This window comes from Homo sapiens, chromosome 4, assembly GCF_000001405.40.
Source record: "Homo sapiens chromosome 4, GRCh38.p14 Primary Assembly".
NCBI lineage: Eukaryota > Metazoa > Chordata > Mammalia > Primates > Hominidae > Homo > Homo sapiens.
The window spans coordinates 145,330,993-145,348,918 of record NC_000004.12 but is presented as its reverse complement, the minus strand read 5'-3'; the positions used below and the strand labels follow the sequence as shown (position 1 = coordinate 145,348,918).

At 40.4% G+C, this 17,926-nt stretch overlaps 1 long non-coding RNA gene across 1 annotated transcript; it reads left to right on the top strand.

Annotated features, from left to right (window-relative positions):
* Positions 1-8,499: 8,499 nt before the first annotated feature.
* On the top strand, positions 8,500-13,656 carry LINC02266 (long intergenic non-protein coding RNA 2266). The gene is made up of 4 exons (NR_147156.1): positions 8,500-8,558; positions 9,835-9,954; positions 11,606-11,718; positions 12,800-13,656. It is a non-coding gene; the product is annotated as a long intergenic non-protein coding RNA 2266 (long non-coding RNA).
* Positions 13,657-17,926: the final 4,270 nt, after the last annotated feature.

Here is a 17,926-nt window from a genome sequence, read left to right as displayed (position 1 = left end):
GGAGCAAAGACCTTCTTCACATGGCAACAAGAGGGAGCTAGCAAGAGCAGGGAGAACTGCCATATAAAACCATCAGACCATATGAGAACTCACTCACTATCATGAAAACAGCATGGGAGAAACTGCCCCCATGATCCAATCACCTCCCACCTTGTCCCTCCCTCAATGCGTGGGGATTATGGGAATTACAATTCAAGATGAGATTTGGGTGGGGACACAGAGCCCACAGAAGGAGAATGGAGAAAGTGGGTTCTGGAAAACTTCGGGGGGTGGCTGAAATATGGAAGGGAAGTCCTTAGTTTTAGTGGCTAGGAGAAAACGGAAGTTGCAATGGCTCGCCGTGTAATTGATGAGAAAACTGAGTCTTAGCCAAGGACACAGAGGAGGTAACAGAGCTGGGATTCCAATCCAGGCCTGTCTCATATCTGTTACAGAGGCCTGCCTTCCATCTGGTAAGCAGATATACATATATCTTTAGAAGCTGCCAGTGTTGTAAAACTGAATTCCAAGGAGTGTTAAACTAACAGCAATATGCAGGAGACAAGAGAAAAATAAAAAAAACTGGAGGAAAGACTAAACCACCTACACCAACAAAGCCCATGGAGGCCACTTTCCAAGGTTCTTTTGGGCCTCTGTGGGCTGGTCTCAGGTCCTATAGTCATAAAACGAACATAATACTTGTGTACTTCTTCACAACATTGCAGTGAAAATTAGTTTTTGTTTATTGTGTCCTTTGAACATGAAAAGCTCTGTGTAAGAGCTAAATACCATCATCATTCTATATTTCTTGATTCTATTCCACAGCTCTAGAACTATAAATTCTGTGAGATCCCTTTTTATTTTCTGTTATTTTTAACCATGTCAAAACCAGGAACTTGTGGAATGTCTTGAGCTTTCCTAACTGTAAGTGGTTTGAAGGATTTCATTGCTGGCTAGATTTGAGGGCGGGGAGGGAAGAAAGCATGAGTGAACAGAAACTCCAAGCATTCCGAGGTCTGCCCCTCAACCTGGAGTGCTGCTGCTGTCTCAGCATTGGTTGTGACCTCGGGTTATTGTACTGTATATTTATAACCTCAGAACTCCTGGCCTTTCAACTCTCCCTCACCACCGCCCTTCCCTTCCTCCTCCACTTCCACCCACAGCACACAATCCTGATGAATTTGAGACATTGGAGGAGGACGAAAATTTATTTTTTATGCCATCTTTGGCAGTTTAAACACTGCTTTATGGAAGTACTAACTGTGAAATCTCTGCTCTTTAAAAAGCCAATCCTTACCCTTTGCAAGAGACAGTGATAGATCATGAAAGAGTGAATCATTTTGAGTTCTATAGAAGCAGTAAAATTAAACACTACTTTCAAGACAATAGTAAAAATATTACCTGTCCTTAAGCAAGCAAACAAATTTATATAAAACAATATAATCTGGCAAGGCAATTCTTCCTTTAAAAAATAAGACTAAATGCAAAAATACATTTCATTTGAAGGCTTTAAGCTTTGGTTACTGTTTTGTCCAGAATTCTACCTCAATTTCTTCAAGTTGGCTAACTCCCCACTGCGTGGCTGCCCTTAGCTGAGATGAGAAGCTGGGGCAGTTTGTTCCCAGCGTCCAAGAGTCCAACTGCCTCTTGTTCCATTGAGCTTCTTCTGTCACTCTGTTCCTGTTAGTCACAAATGAGAGTTGTCCCATATATTTTCCATTTGTTCATTCTCCAATTTGCATTGGGAGGTGGTGGGAGAGCAGAAGGTATGTCCCGAAGTCATCAGGCGAACACCATAGAGAGGTCAAAAGCTGATAAATGATGCATGCATTGCGTTGTGGTGCTCGGCCCGCCAGGGAGAAGCAGGGTTCACCCTTTCGTTCAGGTAGTTTAATGAACATGTATGTATGTTACTGTGTGCGTGTTGATATACAAGAATATATGTTATATATTCCAAAGGCTCCACTGAGTGCCCTTGCATGCATATTGTGTGCACACAGCCTAAGCTGGAGCCAGAGCTCAGAAGATTAACACGTCACACCTGGCCCAGTCCCTGTCTAAGTGGGTGCAGGACGGTGGACAAAGCCCGCCTTTCCTGAGGCTTGAACAAAATCAAGGAAACGGTTGTCGTATTTGTCTTTATTTCGTGGGAAAACAAAGGTTGGCTTGACTGGGGCAACAGAAAATATCAGAGAGGGAAGATGAAGAGCCGCTGGTGTCCCAGCCTCGTGTTCAGCGAGGACGCCCTCCTGCAACTGCCTGCCTGTTTCCATGGGCTCCAGGGCGCAGGAAATGCCTCATGGAGAACTTTCTGGAAGATGGCCAGGAGAAGCCCCTCTCTCAAGTGAGGGCTTTCTGGGAACCCAGGGGACTATCTGCAGAAGAACGTTCTTTGGGGCGCGGGGAGAAGCCGCGCAGGCCTCCTCTCCTGGGCGCTGGGGACCGCGGGGCTCCTAGTGGAAGCTACTCCGACCCCACGGCGTTTCCACGCCTCTGTGGCAGGAGAGGGAGTTAGCAGCTCCGGGAACTCAGGCTGTGGGTTTTCAGGTTTCTATCTTGAGAAATGAAAATCCTCCTGATAAGTTAGATTTTGCCCCTCCAATAGCAAAGGCAACGCGTCTCCCTGGGGCCCCGCGCCGCCCGCCTCAACAGACCCCTCCCTGACGACCGCCTGCCCCCAGGGACTCCGGGCTCCCCCGCCGCCCCGCCAGCCCCGCCAGCCCCGCCAGCCCCGGCGCCTTCGCCAGGTCACTCTGGCCTTGTGCCCTATGGCGCTCATGCTTCTTTAGCTCTTTTGCTCTCGCACAGACGGTTTCCCTAAAAAAAAAAAGAAAAAAGAAAAAAAGAAAAGAAAAACTTTACACGGCTAAAACCTTCTTGAAGTCGATTTCTTGGAAGACCTGAGCTAACACACACTATTTAAGAGGATGCGTTTAACAATGCTGAATTCAAGCTTTAGCTCTCAGCTGATTACAAGCAAGGTAATTAACCTCCTTACATCTCAGATTACTCATCTGTAAATTGGGAATAATTTTAGTATATTTCTCATAAAATTGTTGTGACTGATAAATGAGAGAATGCCTATAAATCGAATAACACAGTTCCTGGTGCTTAGTAAATACTCACTGCTTGTTATTATTTTTGAAGTTAACATTATTTTCAGGGTTCTTTATTACAATGTATTTCAAGATTCTACTTAAAATATAGTTGAAGCTCTGATAACATTGGTGTGAGAATAACACTTTTTAGGGTAAAATCAGGGATATTTTTCATGTATTTACTGGAAGTACATGCCTGGGACATGATTTCACCAACCACATTAGCAGCTCCTGGTATCCAGAAATGCTTTTGAGTGTGGTTTTAAGGACTTGGGCTACCTTTTGATATAGTGGTATTCTAATGTCCTCAGAGCTGATATAGTCATAATCATGATGATATTCTTAGAGGTGAGTGATATACCTCAAATTTCTGCCTTTACTCTGGTTTCTAGACTCCAGTCTTGTTTGTGGTGGACAGATGCTGCTCATCTTCAAACACTTCATTATAGTTAATTTTTGATCCAGTAATGATTAATTTCAGTCTTAACTGTGGTTCATTTTATAAATTTCTCAGTGTCCACTGAGATCCCCATTGTTGAAGGCATTGTATCCTGGATGTGTTCACAGTGTTATGGACACATGGAAAGCATGAAGCATGGAATGGCACAGGTGAACAGAGAGAGGCCCAGGTGATGACAGAGTGATAAGGAATAGAGACACTGCTTGAGAGGGACCCAAAGACCTCAGGCAGTGCCTGGGCCACCCTCTCAAATCTCCTTTATGACTTCATGCCTCAGAACCCAAGACTCCTTTCAATGATTTTTTTTTTCTTTTTTTTTTTTTAATTTATTTATTTATTTATTTGTAGATGGAGTCTCACTCTGTTGCCCAAGTTGGAGTGCAGTAGCGCATTCTTAGCTCTCTGAAACCTCTGCCTCCTGGGCTCAAGCAATTCGCCTGCCTCAGCCTCCTGAGTAACTTGAACTACAGGCATGCGCCACCATGCCTGGATAATTTTTGTATTTTTAGTAGAGACAGGGTTTCACCATGTTGGCCAAGCTGCTCTCGAACTCACGAACTCTGTCCACTTCAGCCTCCCAAAGTTCTGGGATTACAGGTGTGAGCCACTGAGTCCAGCCTCAGTGATTTTTACTGAGTACTAACTAGCTGTGTGGGATGCACAGAGGCATGTGACATGGTCTTAGCATTCCAGGAATGCACAATGAATTCATTTTTAAATGAAATCTAATAATTTGACTGAATAGAATAGTTTCCACTGTTCCTATCAAGAGTCATCAGGCAAGGCAGTCACAGTCCTATTCTTGTCAATAGGGTGAGCCTCCCTTGCCTGTCCTTAATTTCACGAAGTGTCACTCTGAGAAATGTCAAGAAGGCCTTATGGCAGCAAATTGTCCACAATCTCATGGGTCAGTTACCACTATCTGAAAGGCCTTTGGTGCCTAGCATCCTGTGGCTGCTCTTCTAGAAAGTAGCTGGAGCTCCTGCTTCAGACACTGCCTCAAACCTGAGATAAGTTGGTGGCAGTGAAGAGGGAATAATAAAGTAAGAGGCTAGGAGTGAAGATTGATGACAACTTTAGTGTATGAAGAAAAAATCTTCACCTGGTGTCAGTAAATCTGTGGCCTTTGATGCTAGTGAATTAATAAGATGAGGAAAGAAAGAAAATGTTAACCCTCTGACCATATAAAGGTAACACAATTATAAATAAATGAATGAATAAGTATGTGTGTATAATATATACATTTAATATATTTGGTCTTCTGTGCCTAAGACCAAACAGCAGAATGACAATGATGACCCTCCTTAAATGCATGAAATTAAGTTGTATTGAAAGCCAGACATGATATATTGGGTAAAAGGAAGTGAAGTAAATAGGACTTTAGTGTGAGGTTTTATGTTTATTTGGCTAAGCGTTAGGCTGTGTTTACTGTTTCCTGGAGTTGTAGATCAGAGGCAAAAATTTCCTCTTGTGTCCTTATTTTTGTTTCCTCTGTTGTTCTTGGATTTCCCTAGAGATTTCTTCTAAATAAGGCCTGAGATATTCAGATTACAGCTGTAATTCCCTGTTGTTATACAGAAGCCCTGTTGATGCAGTGGTAAGGTGTGGAAAAGAAGTTTTCTATAGTCCTAGGATTAGTTCTCAGTCTTTTAGAGAGCCTGTGCCCCTGGGCTGTCATCTTCACATATGCTTCTCAGTTGCCCTCCCTCTCCCAGTGAAATCCGAGGCTAGTAGAAGCTAAATTCAGGTGTTTCCCTTCCTCTAGATTGGTTAGACTCTGGTAAAATAATTTGCCTTGAAGGCAGGCCTTGTTAAAAAGAACAGAATGTTCTGGACATATTTAAAAATGGCTACTTTCTCCCTCCCTGTGTCAGAAGCATGAAGAGATTTTCTTCCTACACTCACGATGAGAACCTGGTGGAGCTCCTAAAGGTAAAACTTATGAAGGTATGGTCCCCTTCCCCCTGCAGCTTTTATCCCTCAAGTTTGTCCACACTTAGCCTCTAGCAAGTTGACAATTATAGTTTGGTTTTCTTACCCTGGTTGATTCCTGTGGTGGTTCCTGCCCCTGGGTTTCTATTCCTATAAATTGAGATTCTCTGTACCTGAATGTCTGTCTTTCAATTCTGGGGCAGCAGTTTGTCCTGTGATCTCTGTTCTCCCATGGATCTAAGAAAAGTTGTTGATGTTTAGTTTGTTCAGCATTTTTCTTGTGAGAATGGAAGTGACAACTCCCAAGCTCCTTACATGCCAGACAGGAAACCAGGAGTTGAGATTAAGTTTTTACTGTATTTATTAATTACTCTTTAAGCTATGTTAATACACAATCTTCAGAGATTGTTCTTGCAACATAGTCATCTGCTTTTTTGATCATAACTGTAAATTAAAGTTAGTTAGATCTATCTGGGAATTTTAGTAAAATCTAGATACAGCTACAGCAAATTCATGGTTTACAGAGAGGGTGAAACCATTTTCATGAGTTATGTTTGGATCACTTTATATTAGCAATGCAATTCTCCCATTTTAAAAAAATGACAAAATTAAGACTCAGGTAAACATTTCAAATAAAAATTGCACAGTATAACACAAAGGCCTGAGATATTCAGTTAGTGTTCCATTCACTTTGAATTTTAATATCACATATTTAATAGAATTATATATAAACACAATAAAAAATTGAAAACTAATGTAATTTTATACTCATAATATTTTTATTTTCTTCATTTTTGTGACTATATAATAATCCTTACTCTTCAATTTCCATTCAGTTCATCTCCTCACAAGCATTAGAACTACATTCAGTAAGGACATTTATAAGCATATGTTCATACTTATATTTATATATTAATTTATGCAGGATTAATGTAGAAACTCATCATCTTGGAAAAAATTAGAAGCTAGTTGTCTCTATATAGTGTTTGTACTCACTAACAAAGTAAAGAAGTATAAATATATATGCATATGTGTGTATGGCACTTAGAACAGTGCCAGGTAGGTAGTGAATGCTAATAAGTTTAGGCATCACCATAATTTTCAGCAGCAGCAGCAGTAGCATTATAGCAGTTTGTTCATACTTCAATATTCATTACATTGTTTTCCGTACAGGTTTTTAAACAACACAATAATCCATTCCAAATTCTTTCATCATATTACTGTTGACTATACATCACAAAATTAATGTCAAAATGAGGATTTCATGGTTTACAGAGAAAGTATTTTGATGACATATGTTTGGATCACTCTATATTAGCAACTTTATTCTCCAATGACATTGGTCAAATAGACTTTAAGATATTCAATTGTAAATTATAATTTTTTCAAATGTAATTTGGTCACACCTGACTTGGATGTCTCTAATATTTTCAGAAGATAGGAGAAATTATGATATTGTAAAGTCTGAATAAACACAGTAAAATATTATAGCCAAATATGGTATTCAAAATTAATCTGACATATACACATGTAGGTACGATTGGATGTAAGCAACTGACATAAATGTATAATATCAAAATTGGGTTATATGTTTATAGCTACAGTGTGTTTTGAAAATTAAATTTGCATGCACTGGGTCCCCCATCAAATAAGATAGACATAATGGTAGTTAAATCAAAGTAGATAACAATAACTTCCAAAGTTAATTAATTTACTTCTAGTAGGCAGCCTGTACATTGGGGAAAACTGGTTCTGTGTTTTAGATTAGAAACCTCCTTTGAGACGCAGTCATCTTTGTGGGGTCAATGTTCTTTCTCATCCCTCTTTGTGCTTGGCTCCAACTGACAAGCATGTGTGAGAATCTGGTTCTGTCACTCAAAATGCCATTCCCTCACTTGGTATGTGGTATGCTCTAGTGCATTCTCCTTCCTCTTTTTTTTTGCTTTGGTAGGGGGTGCTTCACTCCCATGCACAGATCTTCTCCTTATTCCAGTCTTATCACCCATATTTCAATGCCTTGCTGAAATCTACCCTCTATTTTCCAGAACCTTCCTTGCCCACCATGTCCCTTCCTTCTGTTTACTCCCAGAATACTCACTGTCTGTAGCACTGACTTTGAAACTTATTCAAAAACTACCAGAATTATTATTAAATAATTCAGTTGTTGTGTACATGTATATAAGAAACAAATCTTACATTTAGGAATGGTTTTGAGCATGTATATAGAAAGTTATTCCGTAAATGCTTATGAATTAGAAATGTTTTGGAAGTAATCTTTCTTGTTTACCTCACCTATTGGACTAAAGTTATAATGAATTTTATTTTAAATTAGTTTGTGTTCTATAGATCTTCTATTCGTTTTTGGCAAATGAGAGGTTCTTGAGGCCAAGGAATAAGAACTTCCTGTGACTGTTTCCTATGGGCAGATTTTAGATTTCCCCCAAAATACGTATTTTTTATAAGTGGTCACTCTTTTGAGTTGGGGGTGTGAAGTCTGTGTAGCATATCTGTCAGAAGAAATAATGCAAAATTTCCTCATATGAGAAGGAAAACGGATTTATCTTTGTAAGACTCTTAAGAAGCTAATTAATTCTTATAAATAGTATTTTTGTTGTCATATCATGATTATCATTAGCCATCCTCATCCTTATTTAACATTTACTGACCACTTATTATGTTCCAGACACTTGAGTGAAAGAAGTGTTGTAGAAAAAAGCAAAAACCAGGTTCTTGTCACATGACCAGGAAGAGTTAGGCATGCAGACACTTTGAAGGGTGAGGAAAAATGGAAATTAGTGGGCAAAAAGTAAAAGGAAAAATAATTCTCCACAAAGCAAGAGAGAGTCCTGTTAGCAGATTTCCTGCCTCACAGATTGAATCCCAGGTTCCCACCTAGGAACAGGAGAGCCCAGGCTCCTCCCCGCTGCAATGGGCTAGAACTTCCTGTGGCTCCACCCCATCCTCCCAGTGCGCATGCTTGTCGGAGATTCTCAGGCGACCTTCCCTCTTATCTTCCTCTTGCATTTATCAGAAGTGCTGAACCCTTGACGTGCCTTATCTTATTTGCTCCTCACAACAAATCTTATGAGGTAGGTATTATTATCCCCATTTTCAAATGTGGAAACAGGCTCAGAAGGTTTCAGTAATTTGCTCAAGTTGCACAACTAGTAATTGGCAGTGTCGGGTCTGCTTGGCTCTAGAGCCTGAGCTCTTAAATATTAGATCATTAGGTTAAAAGAAACTAGTGGATTATTTGAGGTTCTTTGATGGGAGAAATGCTGTATTACTAATCCCAGTGTTTTCGTACAATGTGCAAACCTGGCACATAATTTGTTGGATGAATGAAATCTTCCAATAAAATAAACTATTATTAAAATAAGCATTTTTTCCCTATCAATCATTAGAACCAGAAAAATACACTTTCTAAGACAATGTTTCCAGACTAGTCTGTTAGATTCCCTTCATCATGAGTACCTAGGGCTGCTTATTGAAAATACAGATTCCTGGGAATCACTTTCCCATACAATCTGTTTCAATTATCTGAGGTAAGGAACAGGGAGTTTGCATTATGAAACACACTAAGATTTAAGAATTACTGCTAAGAGTTAAGAAGCAGCCACTGTCATTTTGAAAATTATAGTTCTTTGTGAATTCAGATTTAGAGTCTGGTTATATATGGGATTACATTCATATCACTCAAAACAAAGGTTGAGGGGCAGTCAGGATCATGATCAGGCACCAGTTGACATTAGTAGTGATGGGAAACCCACTCCTCTGGGGGTCAGAGACATGGACACAGGAAAAGGCCCACGCAGCAGCTGGGCCATTTGCTCTGTTGTTTGTTTGTAAATTAACTAGACCAGCGGTGGGGTAAAATGCCCCCTTGTTCTTAACTGTGAGCTAAAGGGCATCCTCCAGCCAGAACTACTGTTAGGCTCAAAGGTTGGGTATGGGCAACAGGGAGGCCCAAAGACTCTTTCACCACAGAAGCCATTTGGTAGAAATCGAGAGTTTATGAAGAAAGGAAATGAAAGCAGTGTCCTGATATAATATTCTGAAGAAATATCAGAAAATGTGTATGCTCTGACCATCATGGTTCTAAAGGGAAATAAAGAGCCAGAGTGAAATATAAAAGCTGAAACAAGGGGCATGTGCCTTGTTCAAACATTTGTTTATTGTTGAGGTCATCAGTCAGGAGCAATACTGCTGATAATTCTACAAACAAGACAAGGGGACAGAGAAAGTACTTCTTACAGGTGTTGGAAAAAAATACAAATGTGAAAAAACAAAAGAGGAAAATCTGAGAGAGAGAACAAAGAAGAAATCTGGTTGCTTTGAGATTTCTTCTTTTTTTTTTTTTTGCAGATGCATCACTACCAGAAGTTGTCCAGAAAGAACTGTGACCGTATGTTTTAATTAAATAATTTTTCATCCAGTTTTTTTCTTTGCATATAAAGAAACAGAATCCTGACATCTGATTGAATTGTAAGCATCTTCCTGCATCCTGTATATCTGAGATAAAACTTCAAAGAATCAACTTAAGGTCACAAAGGATTACAAAGAAAAAATTTTAGAAAGGGGTCCCTAGATGCACTGAACGTATTTCTATTGAGACATTCCCCTTCCTAGGGGACTGAAAACATGCAGTTTACAGCTCTGGCTACAACCCTGAAGGTAAATATATGTTACTCTAGGGAGCAGTGAAGCATTTGGCAGAAGCCTGTTGGGTAAATGGCACTTCTTTAGGGCTGGAAGAGGTGCCAGCAGAGGCTACTGTCCCTGGAAATTTCCTTGTCCAGTACTCTAATATATGAGCATTCATCAGGTCCATTTGGAACTTGCTTAAAAATTTCTTGGCAAAAATTACGGTCGGTGGTGTCAACTGCTTTTACTTGTTATTTTATACCCTGAGGAGCAGCAGTTAGAACCACTGCTTAGAGGGACCAGGCTGAAAACACATTTAAGTGAAACAAGCCATGACCAAGAGTATTAGCAAATACTCCTAGGAAATTCTGTGGAAAAATGGAGAACAGGGGCTAGCTCTGAAATCCCAGCAAATCTATATTCATGACTCAGTTCAGCTTCCCCCATCTTCCTTTTCTGATATCTATGTGCAGTTATGACTGAAAAATAACACGATTGTGTTAAGAATCCTAAGGCATCTGCATCACACTGCAACCAGATCCAGACATTGTAAATTCCAAGATAGGCCAAATCAAGATTACATGCATTCCTAGATTTTCCTCTTCTTGTCTTCTTTCTGTCCCCACATTTTCACTTATCCTTTAAATCAGTGTATCAAGACCTAGTTATAAACATCTACCATATGCAGGTAGGCACCATATGGAGTCTCTGACCTCAGGGAAATTTAGAATGTACAAGGGAGGGCAAGAAATAAACAAGAGAAAAGCAATGTGGAATATATAACCCGAGAGATGGCTCCAGGTGATTAGCAAATGTGTTACTATGACTCCAGAGGAATTACAGATCAATGTGAAAGGAACTGCACTGCTCTCAAATTTATTGAACAAGAAGTGACTTGAAAAACCATGAAGAGGAAGTTAGACTTAGCTAGTTAGAAGGGACAAGAGAGAAGACAGTTTAGGTGATAAGTACAGAGTGAGCAGAGGAATGCCAGTAGGTCAAGCATTTATCCTCCCTTCCCTTCCTTCTCATTACCCCAAACTTAATTTCCAAAGATGAATGGAAAATAATTGGAAACTGTTGCGGGGGGCGGGGTGAGGGTGTAATGGCTGAATGGGGAAAACCAATTTTTTGTCCTTGTATTCTGGAAAGCCCTTTTGAGTCTGTGTTATTCACTCTAGATTCTGAACTATTAAGTGCTATACAGCTCTGGCCTGGGACTAGGCCAAGAAAAGCAGCAACTCCACATTTTGGAGCAGGAATTAAATCTTACATAGGATATTAGATGGCTTTTAACTGAAAGCAACAGAAAGCACAACTTAAAATGTCCTGAACAATAAAGGCCATGTATTATCTCATGTAATAAAAAGGGCAGAGGTTGGGAATATTCTCCAAGATTGGTTAAGAGAGTAACTGGACACCACCATGAAGACCTAGGTTCTCTCCAGGTCTTCTCTCTGCCATCCCCTGAACACATTACCTCTGTCCTCAGATTGGCTCTCCTGATGGTTGCACGATGGCTGCAGCAGTTCCAGATGTCCCATCGAGACACAAAAAGATCCCAGATGGAAGATGCCATCTCCTCCTATGTGCCTCTTTTTAAGAGTAAGAAAAGAGCCAAACTCTAAAATATTTGAAGAGATTTATTCTGAGTCAAATGTGAGGACCATGACCTGTGACACAGACCCAGGAGGTTCTGAGAGTAGGTTCCCAAGGTGATTGGGCTTAAGCTTGGTTTTATATGTTTTAGGGAGACATAAGATATTAATCAACACATGTAAGACGTACATTGGCTGGGTCCAGAACGGTGGGACAACTTGAAGTGGGGATGCTTACAGGTCATAGGTGGATTCAAAAATTTTCTGACTGGCAATTGGTTGAAAAAGTTAAGCTATTATCTGAAGACCTGGAATCAACAGAAAGGAGTGTCTGGGTTAGGATAAGGGTTTGAGGGCCAAGGCTTTTGTCATGCAGATGAAGACTACAGGTAGCAGGCTTCAGAGAGAATAGATTATAAATGTTTTTTATGAGACTTAAAAATGTGCCAGACTCTTGGTAAAATCTCTCCTGGATCAGGGAAAAGACCTGGAAAGGGAAAGGGATTCTCTACAGAATGTAGATTTTCCCCCTGCAAATGGCTTTGCAGGGCCATTTCAAAATATGTCAAAGAAATGTATTTTGGGGTAATATACTTCAGTTTATGTCAGGGCCTGCTAGCTATCATGTTGGTATCTTTTGCTACAAAGAGTCTGTTTTGTCAGTCTTAAGGCCTCTGTTTTAATGACCCCCCTTCCCACCATGAGCTGAATTAGTTTTTCAGATTTCTCTGGAATGCCCTTGGCTGAGAAGGGGGTCCACCAGTTGGCTGGGGGGCTTAGGATTTTACTTTTGGTGTACAAAACCCATTCTCATAAAGCCTCCAGCAGACATCTCTTGATATATTCTTGCTGAGATTGAATCCTATGTCCCTTACAGGATTGCCATGATTGTTTCAGACTAATTAAAATTTACCTCCAGGTTACACAGGAGTGAGGAGGACCACCAAACCAAACTAAGACTCGGAGGAAAAAAAAAAAAGAAAAAGAAGAAAATGTCTGCTAGGTAGATGTGGTTTTAAAATCTGCCCACAAATTCTCTGATATTCCTCCCACTTCAAAAAGTTGAACAATGTCCCCTCTGCCCCCAGGTGCCATGCCACTCAAACAGCCAATGGAAAGGCCCACGTGGCGAGAGCTAAGGCTTCCTGCCAACAGGCAAGTGAGGAAGCCCAGTCAGCTGCCTGCAGTCCTGACCCATGAAGAGCCTGACTGAAAGTGAATGAGCAACCCTGAGCTAGGACAACCCAGCAAGGCCCATCCTGAATTCCTGCCCACAAAAACTCTGAGACAGTAAATGTTCGTTGTTTTAAACCACAAAGTTTTGAAGTAATAGATTAATTAGGTAACCAATTGGGACTGCAGTATTCCTTCAGGGAACTTGAATAGTCATTCTGTATATGGAAATTGTACACATCTTAAAATTGCTGGACTAAAGTGAGAAGAGACTGTCTTGAGTCAACTGGATAAAGTGGAAAAAAAATTAATTTGGAAATCAATAGAATTCTGGCCTTGGCTTTGTCACTAAGAAACACTTATAAGTAATTTCACTTCTCTTGAAATTATGATCATTATCTATAACATAAAGGAACTGAGCTAAATGTTATCTGATGCCTCTTTAGGCTCTCAAACTCCATAGATTTATGACATGCTTGAAATTCACTTTGTTTCACCCTAATTCAGAGCTTTGTTTCACTAGCTCTAGAATTAGATGCCTTGGGTTTAAATTGCAATTCAGTCACTTATTTAAATAATTGTACTTGGATGAGTGATGTTGCCATTTTAAGCCTCAGTTTCCCCATAGATTCATTGAGAAGATCAAATAAGATGATGCAGATAAAGCTCTTAGTTTGTGGGGACACTTAGTAAGTGCTTAATAAATACAGGCAGTTGTGTTATCTATGTTGTAGCAGCACATTTTGTAAAATAAAACAAAGTTGAAATCACAGATCTATATTTTTATGTACTCTGTTGACAGTTTAGAGCTTATTTGGCTTTTAACATTTTTATTATTGTTTTGTTTATTTATCATTATTATTATTTTTTGAGACGGAGTCTTGCTCTGTCGCCTAGGCTGGAGTACAGTGGCGTGGTCTCTGCTCACTGCAACCCCCGCCTTCTGAGTTCAAGCTATTCTCCTGCTTCAGCCTCTCCAGTAGCTGGGATTACAGGCACGCGCCACCAGGCCCGGATAATTTTTGTATTTTTAGTAGAGACAGGGTTTCACCATGTTGGCCAGTCTGGTCTCGAACTCCTGACCTTGTGATCTGCCCGCCTCAGCCTCCCAAAGTGCTGGGATTATAAGCATGAGCCACTCCACCTGGCCTATTATCATTTTTTGAGATGGGGGCCTCTCTCCGTTGCTCAGGCTGAAGGACAGTAGCATGATCATTGTTCACTGTAACCTTGAACTCATGGGCTCAAATAGTCCTCCCAACTCAGCCTCTTGAGTAGCTGGGACTACAGGTGCACAACACCATGCCTATCTTAACCTTTTAGATTTTTTTTATAGAGATGGGGTCTTACAGTATTGCTCAGGGTGGTCTTAAACTCCTGGCCTCAAGTGATCCTTCCGCCTCAGCCTCCCAAAGTGCTGGGGTTATAGGCATGAGCCACCATGCCCTGTTCGCTTTTATATAATCAGTATGTAAAGTGCATTTTATAGGGACTTGAAGCACACTTTTATAATTTTAAAAATTGTAGAAATTCATATGTGAAGTTTTGCCTTATAATGTATTGTTGGTCATACCCTGGATCAGGAAGCCAACCCCAAATTACAATCTCATTCCTACAAGAAGGTACAGTCTGCTGTATGAAGATCTATTTTTACATGTGTTTCTAGGAATGCTTTGCAGCGGAGTTAGGTGGCCTAGACTTTCTTGATTCTCCTGCAGAGCACAGCCTGCTGTAAATACTCCATTTTATTTGCTTAAGCTTGGTTTGTTTTTGTTTTTGCCTTTTTTTAGTGTAAGATAAATAGAAATCTAAGTCAGTTTCTGATTGTGCCTAATGGTCTGTTCTTTAAAAATTGAGATCATTGTCCAACAGACACTCAGATCTGGTTCGGCCGGTTTGGAAGTCTTTCTCTTCAGGTCTCTCTAACTCTTAGCAGTCCTCTGACAGGTTGCTGCCTTCCTCATTTACATCCATAATGCTAAGTTCCCTTTGGTCCAGGTCAGTATTCTGGGATGTTTCCAGAATCAATATCTGATGTTTCTATTTGCTCTGGCACCTGCCAGTTTACTTGGGTAGGCCTCCAGTGTGGAACAGAACTAGAATATTGTGAGTTATCCATTTTTCTGCTGTACAGCCAGGGTCACCTGAGGCTGTAGACTGACTCTCCAGCTGGAAAAACAGAGTATTCTGGACAAATTCTTTGCCAATGGCCATGTGGTAGGCCTGGCGATTGAGAGTCAAAAGAGTCCAATTTCCTGTGCTCTCAGGTTTTGAATTTTTAAATAAAGCATTGTTTTGTGTGCTAAAATTTTAAAATATAAAGTAAGTTTTGTTGTTTCTTTTTTCTGTGATTTTTTGCTGCCATCTATTCCCTTATAGCCACAAAGCAGCTATTCGGAAGCCTATTGTTCTCCTGGCAGTCTTCATGGTATTTCACTATAAACATTCCTGATTTACTTGATTGTAACCTGTATGAATTACTTAAACAAATTTACATCTTAAATCACCTTATCTTGTGACTGTTCTCTCTCTTCATTCTTCCTGATTTTGTGTAAGTTGATTAGGGTCCCCTTTTCTTGTTTTAGGTTTCCAGATTAGAATCCTGGTGTTTTACAATGGTATTTACATGGTTTGTTCTGCATTCCCTTCATTATTCTAGGTGCCAGCTTGCCTCAGGATCTGTACCTGCCTGTTTATTTTACATCCTTTACGTACCACTTCTTTTTTATCAAGCAAAATCATGCTTTTTATGGGGAAAAATACACTGTGCTTTATCAAAGTTGGAAACTTCCAACCCTGACATCTAGTCTCCTAAATTTAGAGTTCTATAGTTTTTAGAAAATTCAGAGGCAGACTTGTTTGTATAAGGAGTAAATCTATTTTCTATAATGTTGAGGAAATTTAAAACTCTAGACCTTGAGATTTCCGTGTTACAATTTTCTTCAAATTTAACATTTGACATAATGAACAGAGTGAGGAGGCAACCTAGTGAATGGAAAAAAATTTCATATCATATATCTGATAAAGGGTCAATATCCAGAAGGTATACAGAAATCCTACAACTCAACAACACAGCAAAAAGTAACCCAAATAAAAATTGGCAAAGGACTTGAATAGACATTTCTTCAAAGATGATGTACAAATGGCTAACAAGCATATGAAAAGAAACTCAACGTTACTAATTCTTAGTCCATTTTCTGCTGCTGTAACAGAATATCCAGACTGGGTAATTACAAACGATAGACATTTATTTACCTCACTGTTCTGGAGGCTGAGAAGTCCAAGGGCACTGGTATCTGATGAGGGTCATCCCATGGCAGAAGAACATGAGAGCAAAAAATACAAAGAGAAGAAATGTGGCCAAACTCATCCCTTTATCAGGAGCCCACTCCTGAAATAACTAACCCACTTCTGTGATAACAGCATTAATTCATTTATAGGGCAGAGCCCTCATGACCTCTTAAAGGTCGTGCTTCTAAACACTGCTACAATGGCAATTAAATTTCAGCATGAGTTTTGGAGGGGACTTTCGGTTCACAGCACTAATCATTAGGGAAATGCAAATTAAAACTACAGTAGATATTGCCTCATATCCATCAGGATGGTTACTATCAAAAGCCAACAAGCAAGACACTCTACATTCAGCAAATATCAAGTGTTGGTGAGGATATGGAGAAACTGGAACCCTTGTGCACTGTTGGTAGAAATATAAAATGGTGCAGCTGCTACGAAAAATAGTATGGCAGTTTCTCATAAAATTGAAAATAGAATTATCATATAATCCTGCAATTCCAATTCTGAGTGTATATCCAAAATAATTGAAAGCAACATCTCAAAGAGATATTTATACACTCATGTTTATAGCCGCACTGTTCACAATAGCCAAGAGGTGGAAGATGTCTGTCGGTAATTATTTTTCCCAATCACATTCATGATCACTTTTTTCATTTCTTCTAAGACTCTAATATCCATTTTTTAAATAGGAACTTTAGGTCATTTGAAAAGCCAAATAGTAAGTATTGAAAAACCAGACACTACAGTAAGGCCTGAAAGCTCCCACCATATTAAGCTAAAGCAGAAACATCGAGAGCAAAAGTTAGGGGTTGTGATGGTTGGGAGTTTTCTTTCCAAAGGAACACAGAGAGGCCAGGTGTGGTGGCTTGTGCCTGTAATCCCAGCACTTTGGGAGGCCAAGGCAGGAAGATCGCTTGAGTCCAGGAGTCCGAAACCAGCCTGGGCAACATGGTGAAACCCTGCGTCTACAGAAAAAAAAAAACTTAACCAGGTATGATGGTGCATGCCTGTAGTCCCAGCTACTCAGGAGGCTGAGGCAGGAGGATTGATTGAGACCGGGAGGTTGAGGCTTCAGTGAGCCATGATTGCTCCACTGCACTCCAGCCTGGGTGACATAAGGAGACCCTATCTCAAAAGAAGAAAAAAAAAAGAAGGAAAAAAAAAAGCTGAGAGAAACAGTTGTCACCACACTCTAACCATTTGGGCCCAAAAGAACACACCCTAGGAAAAGGGAAAAGGTCAAGAGGGCTGGAGGTGAAAGCCACATTGAAAGGAACGGTGGAGATAGCTGCTTTTGGTCTCCTCTAAAGGTTCTAGTCTGTGTTTGAGAGAAACATTGATAGACATGTGGACAAGAACCAAAGGGGTTTTAGGACTAATCAGATCACCACACCTTAGAAATGGCCACAGAAGCAGTCGCTGCACTGGCTGCCTCCCCTCCTGCTGGCCCACAGTGGCTGCTTAAACTAAAAGCCGCCTGCTTCTGCCTCGTAGGGGCTCTACAACCAGGAGGAGCAGGTCCAAGGTGGCCTGGGGCTTCTGATGAAATTTAGGACAGACCTCGAGGTCTTTCCACACTGTGTGTGTGTGTGTGTGTGTGTGTGTTTGGTGTGCATGCATGCATATGCACATGTGCATGCACACACCAGAGCTACCAAGAATGATGCTCTACCCCATGGACTCTGCCACCAGCCATTTCTCCAATTGCCAATAAATGCTTAGAAGCAGTTGTATCCCCCAATTCCACA